The 16904-nt window shown below is 41.6% G+C and overlaps 1 protein-coding gene across 3 annotated transcripts in view; it reads right to left on the reverse strand.

The window, feature by feature from the left end:
* FEZ1 (fasciculation and elongation protein zeta 1) overlaps positions 1 to 16904 on the reverse strand; it is a 53385-nt gene that overhangs the window by 13449 nt on the left and 23032 nt on the right. For all 3 annotated transcript variants that reach the window (NM_005103.5, XM_005271735.3, XM_005271734.3), the window contains exons 4-5: positions 7155 to 7241; positions 4169 to 4337 (exon numbers count right to left, since the gene is read on the reverse strand). In NM_005103.5, coding sequence (NP_005094.1) covers positions 4169 to 4337; positions 7155 to 7241 — 256 coding nt within the window. The remainder of the gene's footprint in view (positions 1 to 4168; positions 4338 to 7154; positions 7242 to 16904) is intronic.

Raw genomic sequence — 16904 nt, forward strand, 5'->3', positions numbered from 1 at the left:
AGGAAGAAGAAACAGCCCACGAGGAAGTCTGTGGACTCTATTCTCAAAAATGGGGATGGTTTGTTCCTTCTATTTTCTATCTGTGTCCATAAGATTCCTTGTGTGAAATGGGTCAAGAATTGGGGATGGAAAAGTGATGGGAGGGAGGTTTTTGTCATCCATACTGAAGAGCAATAGAGACGTTGGTGCTTATTCCCAAGAACTGATCAAGATATAGCATACGGCAACAACAACAAAAAAGCCGACCATCTGAGCCCTTCTTTACATCTCTGGTCCTGTGTCGCAGTGCATGTATTCAAAAATATGTGAAACCTGGAAGATTGGTGACTATGCATGAAAAAATAAAGCCTAGCGGGTTAGCATACGGCAGTCAGCTACTTTCAAAGGAAAGAAAAGGGAAGCTGAGATCATGGGAAATATATAACTTTAAGAAGTCTCCTAAGACTTCTTTCATTTAAAATAGATTTGGATATTTTATTCCAAATTTTTCTGTTTACATGTTATATATTTTCATAGTTGAGATTATACTTGTATACAGGTCTAAATCATGCTTTAAAACTTTATACACTTTAGGCCAGGAGCAGTGGCTCATGCCTGTAATCCCAGCATATTGGAAGGCTGCGATGTGCGGATCACCTGAGGTCAGGAGTTCGAAAACAGCCTGGCCAGCATAGTGAAACCCTGCCTCTACTTAAAATACAAAATTAGCCAGGCATGGTGGTGCCTGACTATAATTCCAGCTATTCGGCAGAGTGAGGCAGGAGAACCGCTTGAACCTGAGAGGCGGAGGTTGCAGTGAGCAGAGATCACACCACTGTACTCTAGCCTGGGCAACAACAAGAGCAAAACTCTATCTTAAAATAAAAATAAATAAATAAATAAATAAATAAAAACTTTATACCCTTTAAGCATTTTCTGATTAAAAATTCTTTTAAACACTTAAAAAAAAATTTAGGCCAGGTGCAGTGGCTCACACCTGTAATCCCAGCACTTTGAGAGGCTGAGGTGGGTGGGTCACCTGAGGCCAGGAGTTCGAGACCAGCCTGGCCAACATGGTGAAACTGTTTCTACTTTAAAAAAAAAAAAAAAAAAAAAAAAAAATATATATATATATATATATATGTATATATACACATATATATGTATATATACACATATATGTGTATATATGTATATATATACACATATATATAATTTGAAAAAATAAAATATACTTGGGAAACATCTTTTAAAATGTGTCTCCATCTAATGGTATCTTTTTGCGGCAGGGGAGGAAGAATTAATTGATTGACTGGTTTTTAATTTTTAATTTTTGTGGGTACATAGGGGGTGTATGTGTTTATGGAGCACATGAGATGTTTGGATGCAGACATGCAATGCATAATAATCACATCATGGAGAATGAGGTATCCACTCCCTAAGGCATTTTTCCTTTATGTCACAAACAATCCAATTATACTCTTTTAGTTATTTTCAAATGTACAGCGTCTAATGGTGTCCTTCACTTTCACCTCAGAATCCATTTCCCTCTTCCTCTTTGTTTCTGCTTTGCCCGGATATTTGCTGACTTGGTTGGGCTTTCCCCTTATTCTGCTCTTTGGAGCTGCCCTCTCCCCCTTCTGTTTTTTTGCCATTTCACTCTGCATTTCAGCTGTTTTCACAAGTCTTTTGCTGAACGCGTCTATCTTTGGGACCTTTGTGTGGCTGGGAAGGGCCTGACAAGGGCAGTCGGGAATGCAGCGAGGCAGCCAAGTCCAGTTCAGCACCGAGCAGACTCTCTGCCGGCCACCTCCTGCCGCTGCTATTCAAAGCCAAAGTCTGACTTGCAGGATGCAGGCCTCCAGATTCTGCCTCTGCTTTCACCACTTCTAACCCGCAGTTGACCTTTGAACCCTGACCAACCCACCTTCTCCCTCCCCTGTTTCTAAGTTCCCATCTCCCCATGGGTGGATCAACTCCTAGGATGGGGCCCCTTCTGCAGCGTGGGCATTTGATACCCTACGGCTGGTGAATTGTTCTGCCTTTGCTGTGTTACACTTTTTCATTTCATGCTTCATCCAGCCGTTTCTTGTGCACAGTCATAATTACTATAAACCTGTGTCAGAGAGTTAAGAGGATGGCCTCTGGAGTTAACCTACCTGGCTTCAAATGTTAGCTTCACCCCTTATGGCTTCTGCATGGACTAAGCACAAATACAAATTTTAAATGAGAGGCTTGATTCTCCCCGTTGAAAATAAGGGAAGAGACTTTTCCTCTCCCCCACCTCCCTTTTCTTTCAGAATTTCTTCTACCTATCCTTTTCAATCTCTCAAAGATTTAGATTAAATCTTTAAAATAAACATATGTTACATTTACATTAAATTATTGTCATGGCTAAAATAAGCCTCTTGTCATTCTTATAATTCAGGAGGCTTTCTTCAAGGGCCTGGAGGTTACTGCTTTGAAATATAATCATCGGGCCGGGCGCAGTGGGTCATGCCTGTAATCCCAGCACTTTGGGAGGCCGAGGCAGTCGGATCACGAGGTCAAGAGTTCGAGACCACCTTGGCCAACATGTGAAACCTCATCTCTACTAAGAATATAAAAATTAGCCAGGCGTAGTGGTGCATGCCTGTAATCCCAGCTACTCGGGAGGATGAGGCAGGAGAACTGCTTGAACCTGGGAGGCGGAGGTTGCAGTGAGCAGAGATCATGCCACTGCACTCCAGCCTGGGCAACAGAGCAAGACTCTGTCTCAAAAAAAAGAAGGAAAGAAAGAAAAGAAAAAGAAACATAATCATCTCTCATTGTTCTGAGCAGAGGGGCCTAACTCCCTTCCGACTCCAAATTGCAAAACCTACTCAATGTAATGGGTTCCATTCATCCACTTAGCTACACAAGAGTGAGACTGCTTTCTGTCTTTGCAGTCTCTTCAGAGAGTTGTCTGTGATGTGGCTCCCATCCTGGTTTAGTGCTTATTCAATAATAAAATAGTTTTCTAGGCCGGGCATGGTGGCTCACACCTGTAATCCCAGCACTTTGGGAGACCGAGGCAGGCGGATAACCTGAGGTCAGGAGTTTGAGAACAGCCTGGCCAACGTGGAGAAACCCCATCTCTACTAAAAACACAAAAAGTAGCTGGGCATGGTGATGCATGCCTGTAATCCCGGCTACTCAGGGGGCTGAGGCAGGAGAATCGCGTGAAGCTGGGAGGCAGAGGCTGCAGTGAGCCAAGATCATGCCACTGCACTCTAGCCTGGGCGACAGAGCGAGATTCTATCTCTAAAAAATAAATAAATAAATAAAAATAGTAACAAAATAGTTTTCTTTCTCACCTGTCTTTGTGGAGAGGTTTTCTGAACAGGAAGGAAATCTCATTTCTAATCATATTTCCCTAACAGTGGCCTTGGACAAGTCATGTAACCTCTGAAAGACTCGGTTAGCTTGATCCAAATGGGGTTGGTGTGAAGATGAAATGAGATTAGGCATAGGAAGTCTTAGAATAAGGCCAGGCGCAGTGGCTCACACTTGTAATCCCAGCACTTTGGGAGGCTGAGGCAGGCAGATCACTTGAGGCCAGGAGTTTGAGACCAGCCTTGCCAACATGGCGAAACCTCGTCTCTACAAAAATACACAAATTAGCAGGGCGTGGTGGCACGTGCCTGTAGTCCCAACTACTCAGGAGGCTGAGGCTTGAGAATCACTTCAACCTGGGAGGTGGAGGTTGCAGTGAGCTAAGACCATGCCGCTACACTCCAGCCTGGGTGACAGACAGAGAGAGACTCTGTCTCAAAAAAAAAAGAAAGAAAGTCTTAGAATAAGGTCTGGCACATAGAAAGCACTTCAGAAATATGAGCTGTTACTATTACCTTTTTTATTCATTGATTTTATGGTAGCATCATTCATTGCTTTTATATAGTAGTTCAGATTTCTTCTGCTTATTCTGCCTTAGTCTTGTTCTTTGGTTAGTTTTAACATTTAAATTTTGCTCGACTACCTTGTTCTTTTCTCAAAAATGCAAACTTCTCTCCTGATGCCGAGTAAGAAAGGTATTGCTGACCACCTAGATCTGCAAGGCTCTGCTCTGAGGCAGTCAGGGTTCTATTAGCCATGTACAAAGCACACAGCCCAGAGCCTGGCCCCGAGCAGGTGCTTCCTCCTCGGCCAGCCCAGCGCCCAGGGCCCTCACCTTCATAGGACCAGTTGTTGTTGAAGGTCTGTGTCAATGCCTGCATCTCCTGCAGGAGGACCGAGTCTGCCTGGGAGGAAGTTTCTCCTCCATCCTCTTCTTCCAGAACCTCCTCTTCTTCCTCAGGGTCTGGGGAGTTCTGCATCATTTCCTCAATCTCCTCAATTACCTGAAGAAGGTACACGAGAGAGTGCTAACTCTGTTCTCTGCTAGAGGGGCATTCTGGCTTGAATTTTGATCAGTTAAGGATGTTCCTAATTAGCTATCTGAAAATTTCTAAAGCAATATTGTTTTTACATAAATACTGAATAATAAAAATAGTTCCAACCAAAGGCTTGCATACACTCTTTCTTTAATGTAAGGCACTCTTTAATGTAAAACCTCTTCCAAGAGCTCCTTTTAGATAAATGACTTATTGGAAATAAGCTGCTCTTTCAGGAAGCAAGGCAGAGCTGCCTGGAAGGGAACATTTACTTCAATGTGCTGAGCTATTTCTAAGTGGGAAAATATTTCATTCACCCAACTTTAACACAAAACCCAGTCCATTAATTGACATAATACACGTGACTGTAAAAAATAGCGTGCTCCTAGAACAACACAAAATGGGGAGGAAAACAACTATTTCTCCAGAATTCACCTAGACAGGAACTGAAGCTGCCCAGCAACAAATGAAAATAGAGATAATGAAATAATAGAAGGATAGGTGGAGTCTAGAGAGCAGCAAATAGATAAGAACCCCAGCTCTAATCTAGACTATTGACAGGAGCCAGCTCCCAGAAGTGGAGGGAAAATTAGATATCTGCCAAAAGGAACAAAAGTGAATTACTAGCTGGGCATGGTGTCTCATGCCTGTAATCCCAGCACTTTGGGAAGCCGAGGCAGGTGGATCACTTGAGCTCAGGAGTTCAAGACCAGCCTGAGCAACATGGCGAAACCCCATCTCTGCAAAAAGCAGAAAAATTAGCCAGTTGTGGTGACGTGTGTCTGTAGTCCATGTTACTTGGGAGGTTGAGGTGGGAGGATGGCTTGAGCCCAAGAGGTAGAGGTTGCAGTGAACCGAGACTGGGCCACTGGACTCCAGCCTGGGCAATAGAGCCAGATCCTGTTTCAACAACAACAACAAAAAAAAGAGTGACTTACTTTGTACATTAATTATTTACAAATAAAGAAGACTGCTGCTGAAAGCAGGTCTTTAGATGAGTTTTGTCCCAACCTTCACCTTTGTCTGTTCTCCATGGATGGACTAAAGTCCCCGAGGCCAGCATTGTACTCTTTGAGGTGGTTTCTTCACAGTGGGCTGGACCAAAGGTAAGGGGTTTCAGGGTCTCCTCCTTTAGAATAATTTCCATTCTTATTCCCAAACCTTTTCACCTCTACTCACAAACTTAGGAAATACCCAGTCTTTGACTACTGAAAGCCATTTTACAGAATGCAACCAAATGACACAAGTCCCTGTCAGGGTCTTATGGCTGAATGTCCTTTTCTCTAAGAGGAGTTATAATTGAGTTCATATCATTGAATTGTAGATCCTCCTACAAGTCACAAGAATAGCTATTAGCCCCTATTTTTAAAAATCTGGTTCTCTTCAGTCTCCTAATCCTCACGTGTTTCAATTCCCACCTTTCTATCACAGATATGAAAAAGCACCATTGCTGCTAAAAAAGCACTTTCTGGCACCGAAGGCTGCCAGTGGAGCTTTGCAGAAAGACTTTGTGGAAACTTATGTAGTGTTTAGCTCAAAATAAGCACCCATAAATATTTGTTGACTAAAACATTAAATAAGGAATCCAGAAACTGAACATTATCCTCTCTAAGTAATAAATTATTAAAGCTATGATGATCTCAATTGAATGCGAAGCACTCTATCTTTTTTCACAAAGTCGAAGTGGCTCTAAGACTCCTTTCGGAAGGCCCAAAATTTTGAGTGTTCTATGAAATGTAAGAAAATATCCATCACACAAAAGCCTCATCTGTCACTTCTCTTTTTGGGAAAACAGGTATTTGGGACCCTTGTTTGAGTGTCTTGACTCCGAGTACAACGAATTTCAATAAGAAGGCTTAGCAGGATTGTAGCTACTAAACACTATGCCTGTCTCTGGCTCCTATCAGAGACTGACCCCAACTATCCCAAGTGTCAAGAATGACATTCATGTTCACTGCAGGTGGGCAACCTGAGGCAGAAAGAGAGATGAAATCCCTTATCAAAAATACTCTGAGTTGGACAGTCACCGTGGCTCATGCCTGTAATCCCAGCACTTTGGGAGGCCAAGGCGGGTGGACTGCTTGAGTCCAGGAGTTTGAGACCAGCCTGGGCAGCATGGTGAAACCTCATCTCCACTAAAAGTACAGAAAATTAGCTGGGCATAGTGATGCATGCCTGTAGTCCCAGCTACTTAGGGGCCTGAGGCGGGAGGATCGCTTGAGCCAAGGAGGTTGAGGCTATAGTGAACCCTGATTTTGCCACTGCACTCTGGCCTGGGTGACAAAGTGAGACCCTGTCTCAAAATGAAAAAAAAAAAAGGTCAGGCACAGTGGCTCATGCCTATAATCCCAGCACTTTGGGAGGTTGAGGTGGGCAGATCACTTGAGGTTAGGAGTTTGAGACCAGCCTGGCCAACATGGTGAAATCACATCTCTACCAAAAAATTTTTTATAAGAATTAGCCAGGCATGGTGGTGCATGCCTGTAGTCCCAGCTACTCGGGAGGCTGAGGCAGGAAAGTCACTTGAATCCGGGAGGCAGAGGTTGCAATGAGCCAAGATCACGCCACTGCACTCCAGCCTGGGCAACAGAGCAAGACTCTGTCTCAAAAGTATATATATATAAAGAAAAAAAAGAAACAAAAAATACTCTGAGTCATGAGCACAGGCACCACATGACCACATATCTTTCTTCTGCCTTAAATGGATGTGGCAAGTGTGTTCTCTTGGACTTTTTCTCCATCAAAAGAACAAAAGGTCCCGATAACCTGGAGAGATACTTATACCTGATCTGCTGTGAGCAGAGGCTCCTCGTTGATACCGGAATCATTTTCACTCTTCTCATTGAACTCTTCCTCTTCTTTCTCATGGATCTGGAGAGGAGGTGGGGAGATGGAATTCTGGGTGACCATCAGCAGAAGTGGGATTGCCTCTAGTCTCGAGAATGGATGATACTGACTGGGAGGCCACTCCAGCCAGCTGCTGTCTAAACAGTGGAGCTGAAGAGGTGTCCAGAGTTTCATCCAATTCCAAACATATCTTTGCCCCATCACTAACTCCAGCATGCCAGAAATCCAGCATGCAGCACTGAATCCAACTTGGCAGGAAAAGACGACAGGGGAATGGCCAGCACCATTCTGACTCAAAGGGGACAGCACCGTTTTTTAACCCACAGACAGGTCATCCTGGGGTGAACAAGGCGCCTTCTCCAGGTAAGTGACACTGCAGCCAACTGCAGCAAAGGTGCCCTGATTTTGTTAAGGAGTTCCAACCTGGGGGGTTGTTTCCAGATTTCGTCTTACTAGGCATTTTAAGGAATAGGTTGTTCTAGTCCAAATAATGATGACTTTCAGAATTTGATGAAATGCCATCCTGTTACTGGAATCCAGGCATGATGTCATAGCTGATGGCAGATGTAAGAAATCTGCATGGGACATGCCACTGAATAACCTGACCACATGAACTAAACAACAACAAAACTACAAAAGAGAACCCCATTTATCTCATTTGCCCTGTGTCTCTATAATTCCATAATCCCAAGTAAGATCCTCAAAGTTCACAGCCATCAAAATTCTAGATGTTTAAATCTAACAAGCTATTCAAAGCATATCTGGCTTAACTGACCATATCCCAAACTGCCATAGTCTGGCATTTACATTCAAGTCCCACAGAAAAGTTAATCACTAAACACCTAACAAGCTGTATGTCTAGAAGTCTGATTTGAACGTCATACAAGGAGGAGGCAGGAGGTGTCTCTAGGAAATCTCTCTGCTGAGTCACCTCTCATCCAGGAATGAATCCTCCTTGCGCTCCAGTAGCTGGCACACCGATTGGCCCCTTCCCTGGGGCTTGTATTCTGCCTTTTCTAACAGGAAACAGCCCAGCTCCAATCCAAGCAATAATGTCAGAGGTAGTCTATCCTCAGAAACTTCTCCCGTCTTCTGTGAGCTTTGCCTTGGCAGACATCCCTAACAGAGCACATCACCTTTTATCTCCATTTGCTTAAAACCAGGACTATGTCATTAAAAAAGAAAAAAAAAATTAAGCAAATATATCTCAAATGCCATCCGCACTCAACCTAGATATGGGGTAGGACAGGGAGGTAATGGAATCATCTGAAGGGCCCGGGTACCAGATGGTGACATCTATTTCCGCTGTCAAACCCATATGCTCCTCTCTCTGCCAAGTCCACCACCTGCGATAGCCTCGTGGTTTCCACCGCTCCCCACTATGCAGAACAAAACTCCTGGAGCTACGCTTTGTTCACAACTACACTCATATGGAAGAACTTTCTTCAGGCCAGAAAATCCTGCAGTAGAAGTTAGCCCAAAATTAAGAGAACGAAGATACATTTTTTCCTCCAGACAAAAATTAGGGGAGAAAAAGGAAGAAATGTATCAATATGAACCCAGCCCAAGTTAGTGTGAGCCCAAGTTAGGCTCATCCTGGGAAACAGGGTTATTTTTCATAAGCATCTAACAGCAACTGTTAGTCTATAACCAGGATTTGGCAGGGGGTAGGGGGTGGTGGGCACTAAGTCTATATAAAAATGGCATGTTTACCTTTTCTGAAATGTGGCTGATTGTAGTGGGTTTAACTCCCTGACTGTTAATATTGCTTCTTTCAACTATATCATCTCCTCCCTCCCCAAGTTCCTCACTCCTTGGGGAGTTCCAGGAAGAAGGCAGGGAGGAAGCTTCTAGGGATAGATCCTTCTTGCTGCTCAAATGCTAATAAGCCTGGGCTGTGGCCGGAATGATGCACTAGTAGAGTTTCTCTCCCCTCCCCCTCTCAGGCGCAAAGCCTCCAGGTCTGAATTGTCAGGCTTGGGAAAACAGAGATGGGAAAATCAATTATAAGCTTATGAAAGGTACTGTGAGTTCCTACTCTTATGGGAACCATACTCATCCCTTATTTTCTTATTTCTCAGAAGTCTGCCACTAAAAAATAAAATAAAAGGAGAGGCAGACATAAAATACGGCCAAGAAAACCCTGGCTCCTTCCCTCTATGTGCGGGTTACCCCCTAATCCTTGGGCTTCCCCACCTCCATCGTGCCCCAGCCTCTTCACCTCCCTCTCCAGCGTTTGATTCTGATCCTCTCACCCTTCCCACCCTCCCTAGGCCTGGTTCCCACATTTTCTGTCCATCCTGCCAGACTTTGCTCTGTTCCAACAGCATCCATCACTTCACAAGCCCTTGCCTCTTTACGGGCACTGTTTACAGACTCCTTCCCTCCCCTCCTTGACCAGGACAGTATCTTGTGCACAGGGTGGAGAGCTGGAGGGGAAACAATGACAGAGGAAGAAAGAAAGGTTTTTGAAAAATGACAGCCCTTGTGCATATAAATACTCTTAATCCTAGCATAAGACACTGACATAGATATCACGGTAGAGAGTTCCTTTAGCCCCTTGTGCAGCAGTGGGGAAGATACATGTCAAAAATAACTTCAGGCCAGGTCATTTAGGGCTGAATTTCTTTGTCAGCTAAAACTGCTAGTTGTTACCAGATGTGGTGGCTTACACCTGTAATCCCAGCACTTTGGGAGGCCGAGATGAGAGGATTGCTTGAGTCCAGGAGTTCGAGACCAACCTGGGCAACATGGCAAGACTCCGTCTCTAAAAAAATAGAAAAATTAGTCAGGCATGATGGCACACCTGTAGTCCCAACTACTCAGGAGGCTGAGGTGGGAGGATCAATTGAGCCATGGAGATGGAGGCTGCAGTGAGGCTGCAGTGAGCCGTGATTATGCCACTGCACTCCAGCCTGGATGACAAAGTGAGATCCTGTCTAAAAAAAAAAACACCTTGCTAGCTGTTTGGATACTATTGACGTGAACTATGCTTTTCCAAGAAAAGTCATTCTTCCAAATGATTTATTCCCAGAATTGAGAAGATTTGAATCCAGAAAGGGGTCTGGCTATACCATTCAGCAAGCTGTTTCTTCCTCCTGCTTTTGGGAAGAGTGTGTCTCTAGGACTATAACATGAAAGCTTGAAACTTGAAAAGAAATGCAGAAAACTTTCCCCAAGGCCTATAACATTGCTAAATCTTGCTGCACAGTGAAGTATTCTGAATGATGATTAAAATTATGTGGAGCCCTTGATTCCAATAATGACTATTAACCAGTGTATTTTATTAAAGTGTTTCAAATGACCCCATTCATAGAAAAGGTAATTTTTACAGCATATTTAGCCCTTTGCATAATATTTTCCTCCCCTTACCACTATTGTTTGACATGAGTGGTTGCCCCCCTGACAAAAATTAAGAGAACAAAGATACATTTTTACCTTCAGACAAAAAGTAAAAAAAAAAAAAGAAATTCACAACAACTGTGTCCCATTTTTTTTTTTTTTAGACACAGGATCTCGCTGTGTCACACAAGCTGGAATGCAGTGGCACAATCATGGCTCAATGCAGCCTCTAACTCCTTTGCTCGAGTGATCCTCCTGCCTCAGCCTCCCAAGTAGCTGGGACTACAGGCAGGTGCCACCACACCTGACTAAGATTTTTTTTGTTTTGAATTTTTTTAGAGATAGGGGTCTCACTGTGTTGCCCAGGCTGGTCTCAAACTCCTGGCCTCAAGCAATCCTCCCACCTCAGCCTCCCGAGTGGGATTACAGGTGTGAGCCACTGTGCCTGGTAACTATGTCCCTTTTATGCTTATGAACAACCAGGAAACATCTGCGTGGATTAAGTCAATGGCTGTGCATTCCCATAGGGAGATGCACTAGGGCATGCAGCCAACACATATTTGTTGAAAGAATTAATGAACAATTGAAAAAGAGAGGACTGAGAGCAGTACTATCATCTAGATTCAGTCCACTTCCACAGGTAACTTAGCTATTTAGTCACCTGGAAAAGAGGAAGATGTGACTGGGCATGGTGTCTCATGCCTGTAATTCCAGCAATTTGGGAGGCCAGGGTGGGAGGGTCACTTGAGCCCAGCCTGGGCAACATAGTGAAACTCTGTCTCTACAAAAAAAATGAACAAAATTAGCCAGGCATGGTGGTGCACACCTGTAGTCCCAGCTACTCAGGAGATGGAGGTGGGAGGATTGCTTGAGCCAGGGAGGTGGAGGCTGTAGTGAGCCATGACTGTTGCCACTGTACTCTAGCCTGGGTGACATAGTGAGATCCTGTCTCAAAAATATGAAAGACATAATTCACTATCCTGGACTTCCAATTTCCTCTTATCCAGACAACCACTATCTGCTATTAAATAAAGGTTATAAGGTAAAAGGAGACTGTGTTTTACATCACAGGAATAGAATAGATTGATGAATCGAAAGCCCCAGTAAAAGTGGTAAATTGTGAAAAAAATAATAATGCCTCCTACAGACATATTAACTCAAGCAAATTATTTTGACCTAAAAATGTAAATGTACATTTATTTATTCACCAAGTTCCTAGTGTAGGACCAAGCTTACAATGAAACTCTGAGTAGAGTTCCACAGTCTCTCTTGCATCATCCACATAATAACTTTTTTTTTTCTTTTTTTAAACAGAGTCTCACAATATCACCCAGGCTGGAGTCCAATGACATGATCAAAGTCCACTGCAGCCTCCCTTTCCTGGGATCAGGCAATTCTTCCACCTCAGCCTCCCAAGTAGCTAGGAACATAGGTGCACACCACCACTCATGGCAAACTTTTTCATTTTTTTGTAAAGATTGAGTCCAATACTCCCTCTTTATCTTTACCCAGGCTGGCTTCTAACTCCTAGGCTCAAGTGATCTTCCTACTTCAGCCTCCCAAAGTGCTGTGCTTACAGGTGTGAGCCACCACACCCAGCCCATAACATAATTTTTAAAATGATTTCCTGTTTCCATTTCTTTATAGTAGAAGGTGGGTACACAGGAGATTGGGCACAAATTTATCAGCCCTTCCTCCTCAAACCCTACTAAAATGAGAGTCAAGGGATCAAAAAAGAATAACCCAAAAGGGACAAAGTGAACAGGAGAAAAGGCAACAGCAAGAGAAATGCCAGAAAACAGACGCCGGCCCAGCAGGCTCAGCAGGGTTAAACTTGGCGAGAGCAGGCTGCCCAAGGTAAAGGGGGTCACACAGCAGATACTGAATGGCTCAGGAATTGCAGACCCCGAGGGGCAGCATGGCGGGGCTATGTAAGGAAGATTTGCTGGTATTCTTCATCAAGAATAATGAGACCCAAGTGTCTTCTTCCAACCCAGATAAAAAGGGACTGCATCCTCTCAGCTCAAAAGGACTGTAGACTTCACTCTGAGCAGGTTGAACTGGAGGTTCTGGACTCAGAGCACCAGGCCACCTAAAAGTGAGGGTGAGGGTTCTCACCAAAAACAGAGAGAGGATGTAAGACTCTACAGAATGACTCACCAGACAGACCTCTGGCCTCCTTCCCTGAGTAGGCTCCAAGGACACTGGCAGCTGGTTTATTCTGTCCATCAAGCCATTGGAGAACACCTCTCTATGGATGCTATAAGTCTACAAATACATGCCAACTGTCAAGATCTCCGAACAAGACGCATAGGTCCTTACTGGCACTGTGATCCAGCAGGAAACAAGCCCTGACCCCATAGCCTTCTAGGGCCTCACTTTCTTTTTTTCCAAGGGTTTCCCTCTGTCACCTAGACTGAAGGGGAGTGGCTTGATCTCAGCTCACTGCAACCTCTGCCTCCCCGGCTCAAGCAATCCTCCCACCTCAGCCTCCTGAGTAGTTGGGACTACTGGCGCATGCCACCATGCCCAACTAACTTTTGTATTTTTTGTAGAGATGGGGAACTTGCCATGTTTCCTAGGCTGGTCTCAAACTCCTGAGCACAAGCAATTCACCTGCCTCGGCCTCCTAAAGTGTTGAGATTACAGGCGTGAGCTATCACCAGCCATTTTTTTTAAAATTAATGTTTTTAGAGACAGGGGCTTGCTCTGTTGCCCAGGCTGGTGTGAAATGGTGTAATCATAGCTCACTGTAGCCTCAAACTCCTAAGCTCAAGCGATTCTCTAGCCTCAGCCTCCCAAGTAGCTGGGACTACAGGTGCATGCCACCAGGCCCAGCTAATGCTTTTTTTTTTTTTTTTAATTTTTTGTAGAGACAGGGTCTTACTGTGTTGGCCAGGCTGGTATTGAAAATTCTGGGCTCAAGTGATCCTCCTGCCTTGGCCTCCCAAGTAGTTGGGACTGCAAGTGCACTCCATCCCCTGGCTACCTTTTTGTTTTTTTTGTTTTTGTTTTTTGGTAGAGTTGTAGAGATGGGGCTGGTCACAAACTCCTAGGATCAAGGGATCCCCCTGCCTTGTCCTCCCAAAGTGCTAGGATTATAGGAGTAAACCACCATGCCTGGCCATAAAGCCTCACTTTTAAATATGAAAAGATGCTCAAGGATTGCCAGACATTTGAGAATAGCCCCCAACATGAAAGATGAAAATGTATAGAGAAGAGAAATCAAAAGCAACAGAGAGAGCAGAAGAAACCTCTTCTAAGAAACTGCTATACCTGCCTTCAGAAGGATAACAGAACACCTTGCTTCCTCAAAATGTGTCCTATTTATCAGAATTCATTTAAAAACTACAAAGATGTACACTTACTAAGACCAGAAAAAAATTTTAAAAACACACAAATTCTGTAAAAACTGGAAAGGGCTCTTAGAAATTAAAGGTATGATAGAAAATTTAGACTTTTCCATCGAGCTGAAGGCTGAGAAAGTTCCCTGGAGAGTGAAACAAAATAAGCAGATAGAATTATGGGCGGGGAAAAATATTCAGAAGATCAGCTTCAGAAGTCCAATACTTGAATAAAAGGAATTCTAGAAAGCAAAAACAGAAGAGATGGCCCCTTTCAGCCATGACAGAGTAACTGGTATTGGACTTATCCCTCCTACCATAAACAACTACAATCTGGACAAAATCTATGAGCCAATTGTTTTCAGGCACTGGACACAGGCAGTGCAAGGCTGTGTGTTTTGAAAGAAGGGAAAAACATGAAATAAATGAGATAAATAAATGAAGGCTAAAGGAATCTGTCACCTGTGGCTCTACACCAAAAGAAATGCTATAAAAAGCATTTTGGGTTGAAAGGAAATGATAGAAAATCAGAATCTTCAGGAAAAAATAAGGAATGCCAGAAATGATAAATACATAGGTAAATATTTTAAAAGTATCTTTTTTTTCCTTCTTTTGATTTTCTTAAAAGACAACTAACTGTCTAAAGCAAAAATAATAACTTTGTGTTGTGGAGTATATAATGTAGATTGAAATAAAATATATGACAATTATAGCACAAAAGATGGAAGGAATAGACTTTATACTGTGACAAATGTTTTACATTTTATGTAAAGTGTACAATATTAATTCTAAATGGACTATGATTAATTAATAATGTATAGTGTAACCCCTAGAGAAACCACTAAAGAAAAATACGACAAGGTATAGATAAAAATCCAACAGAAGACATAAGATGCAAAGCCAAAGAATATTTGATTAACCCAAAAGAAGACAAAAAGTGTGGAACAGAGGAACAACAAAACAGCAACAAAACCAGATGGGACAATCAGAAATGAAGACAATACGCTCCAACACAAATTATCAATATTATGCCAAATGTCAATGGACTACACACTATGCAAATAAACTAAACACAATAATCAAGAAGCATAAATTGTCAGACTGAATATAAAAACAAGATCCAAGTATACACTACCTGCAAAAACACACTTTAAATAAAAAGACAGAGATAGGCAGAAACTAAAAGGATTGAGATAGATACACACACACACACACACACACACACACACACTTTGCAAACAGTATGCATAAGAAAGCTTAAGTGGCTACATTCATATCAAACAAAGTAGATTTTAAGATAAGCATTACAGAGAAAGAATGACATTTCATAATGATAAAAGGGTCAACTCATCAGGGAGATGTACTCAGAGCTTCAAAATATATAAAACAAAAATCAACAGAACTAAAGAAATAGAAATAAATGCACAACAATGGTTGGAGATTTTAATAAACCTTTCTCATTAATTGATAGAATAAACAGACAAAAAATATCATTTGGAACACAGGAATTCAACAATACTATCAACCAAGTTAACCTGGTTGACATTTATAGCACATTACAACCAACAATTGCAGAATGTGCATCATTTCCAATGGCATATATTACATTCACTAAGACGTACCATATGCTGGACCCTAAATCAGTCTGAACGTATTTTAAAAGATTTAAGTCATACAAAGTATGTTCTCTGACAAAATTAAATTAGAAATCAATTTTTAACAAGATAGCTATAAAACCTCCCAAGCACTTTGAAATTCAGCAGCAAACTGCCAAATAACCTATGGGTTAAAGAAGAAATTGCAAGAAAAAATTAGAAACTATGTTTTTAATTGAATGATGAAAACATACCCAATCAAAATATGTAGAATTCAGCTAAAACAGTGCTTAAAGGGAATTTTATAGCTTTAAGTTTTTTTAAGTTTAAAATATAATCAAATTTCCTACCTTAAGAAGCTAAAAAAATGAGGGCAAATTAAACTCCTACTAAGTAGAAGGAAGGAAGTAATAAAGCTAAGAGAGGGAATCAATAAACTAAAAAGTTAACAAACAATAAAGGAAATCAAAGAAATAAAAAGTGGTTCTCTGAAAAGATTAATAAAGGTGATAATCCCACAGACCAGCTGACAAGAGAGAGTGAGAGAGGGATGGAGGGAGAGAGAACACAAATTAACAATGTCAGGAATAGAAAAGGGAACATCACTATAAATCTTACAGACATTTTCAATAACAAAACAAAATTATAAACAAATGAATGTTCAATACATTCAATGATTAAATAGATAAATTCCTTGAGAAATGTAACTTATCAAACCTGACTCAGTAAAATTGAATTTGTAACTGAAAATCTTCCACAGAGAAAACCCTAGGCCCAGATGCTTTCACTAGTATAGTCTATCAAACATTCAGGGAAGAAATAATACCAATGTAATACAAATTCTTTCACAAAGTAGAGATAGAGAGGATAATTTCCAACTTATTTTATGACATTAGAACAAAATAAAATTTCAGAAAAAGAACATGATGCAAAAATCTTTAATAAAATATCGGCAAATCAAATCCCACATTATATAAAAAAGATAAAATATCATAACTAAGTGGGGTTTATTTTAAAATAAAATGCTGGTTTAATATTTGAAAACCAATTAATGTAATTCATCACATTAACATGATAAATTGATCTACATATATAAATTGGTCTGTAGATTCTACACAATCAAAGTCAAATTTCCAGCAAGATTTTTTGCAAAAATTCATCTGCTGATTCCAAGATTTATATGGAAATGTAAATAACCTAAAATAACTAAAACAAATTTGGAAAGAAAAAAAAAGGACACAGTTGGAGAACTTATATTACTTTATTTCAAGACTTACCATAAAGCTACAGCAATCAATACAGTGTGGGATTGGCATAAAGATAGACACATTTTAAAATAAATTAGGGATGATAAAAAAAGACACACACATATATATATCATTGAAACAGAAAAAAGAATTCAGAAG

The sequence above is a fragment of the Homo sapiens genome, chromosome 11 (genome assembly GCF_000001405.40).
Source record: "Homo sapiens chromosome 11, GRCh38.p14 Primary Assembly".
NCBI lineage: Eukaryota > Metazoa > Chordata > Mammalia > Primates > Hominidae > Homo > Homo sapiens.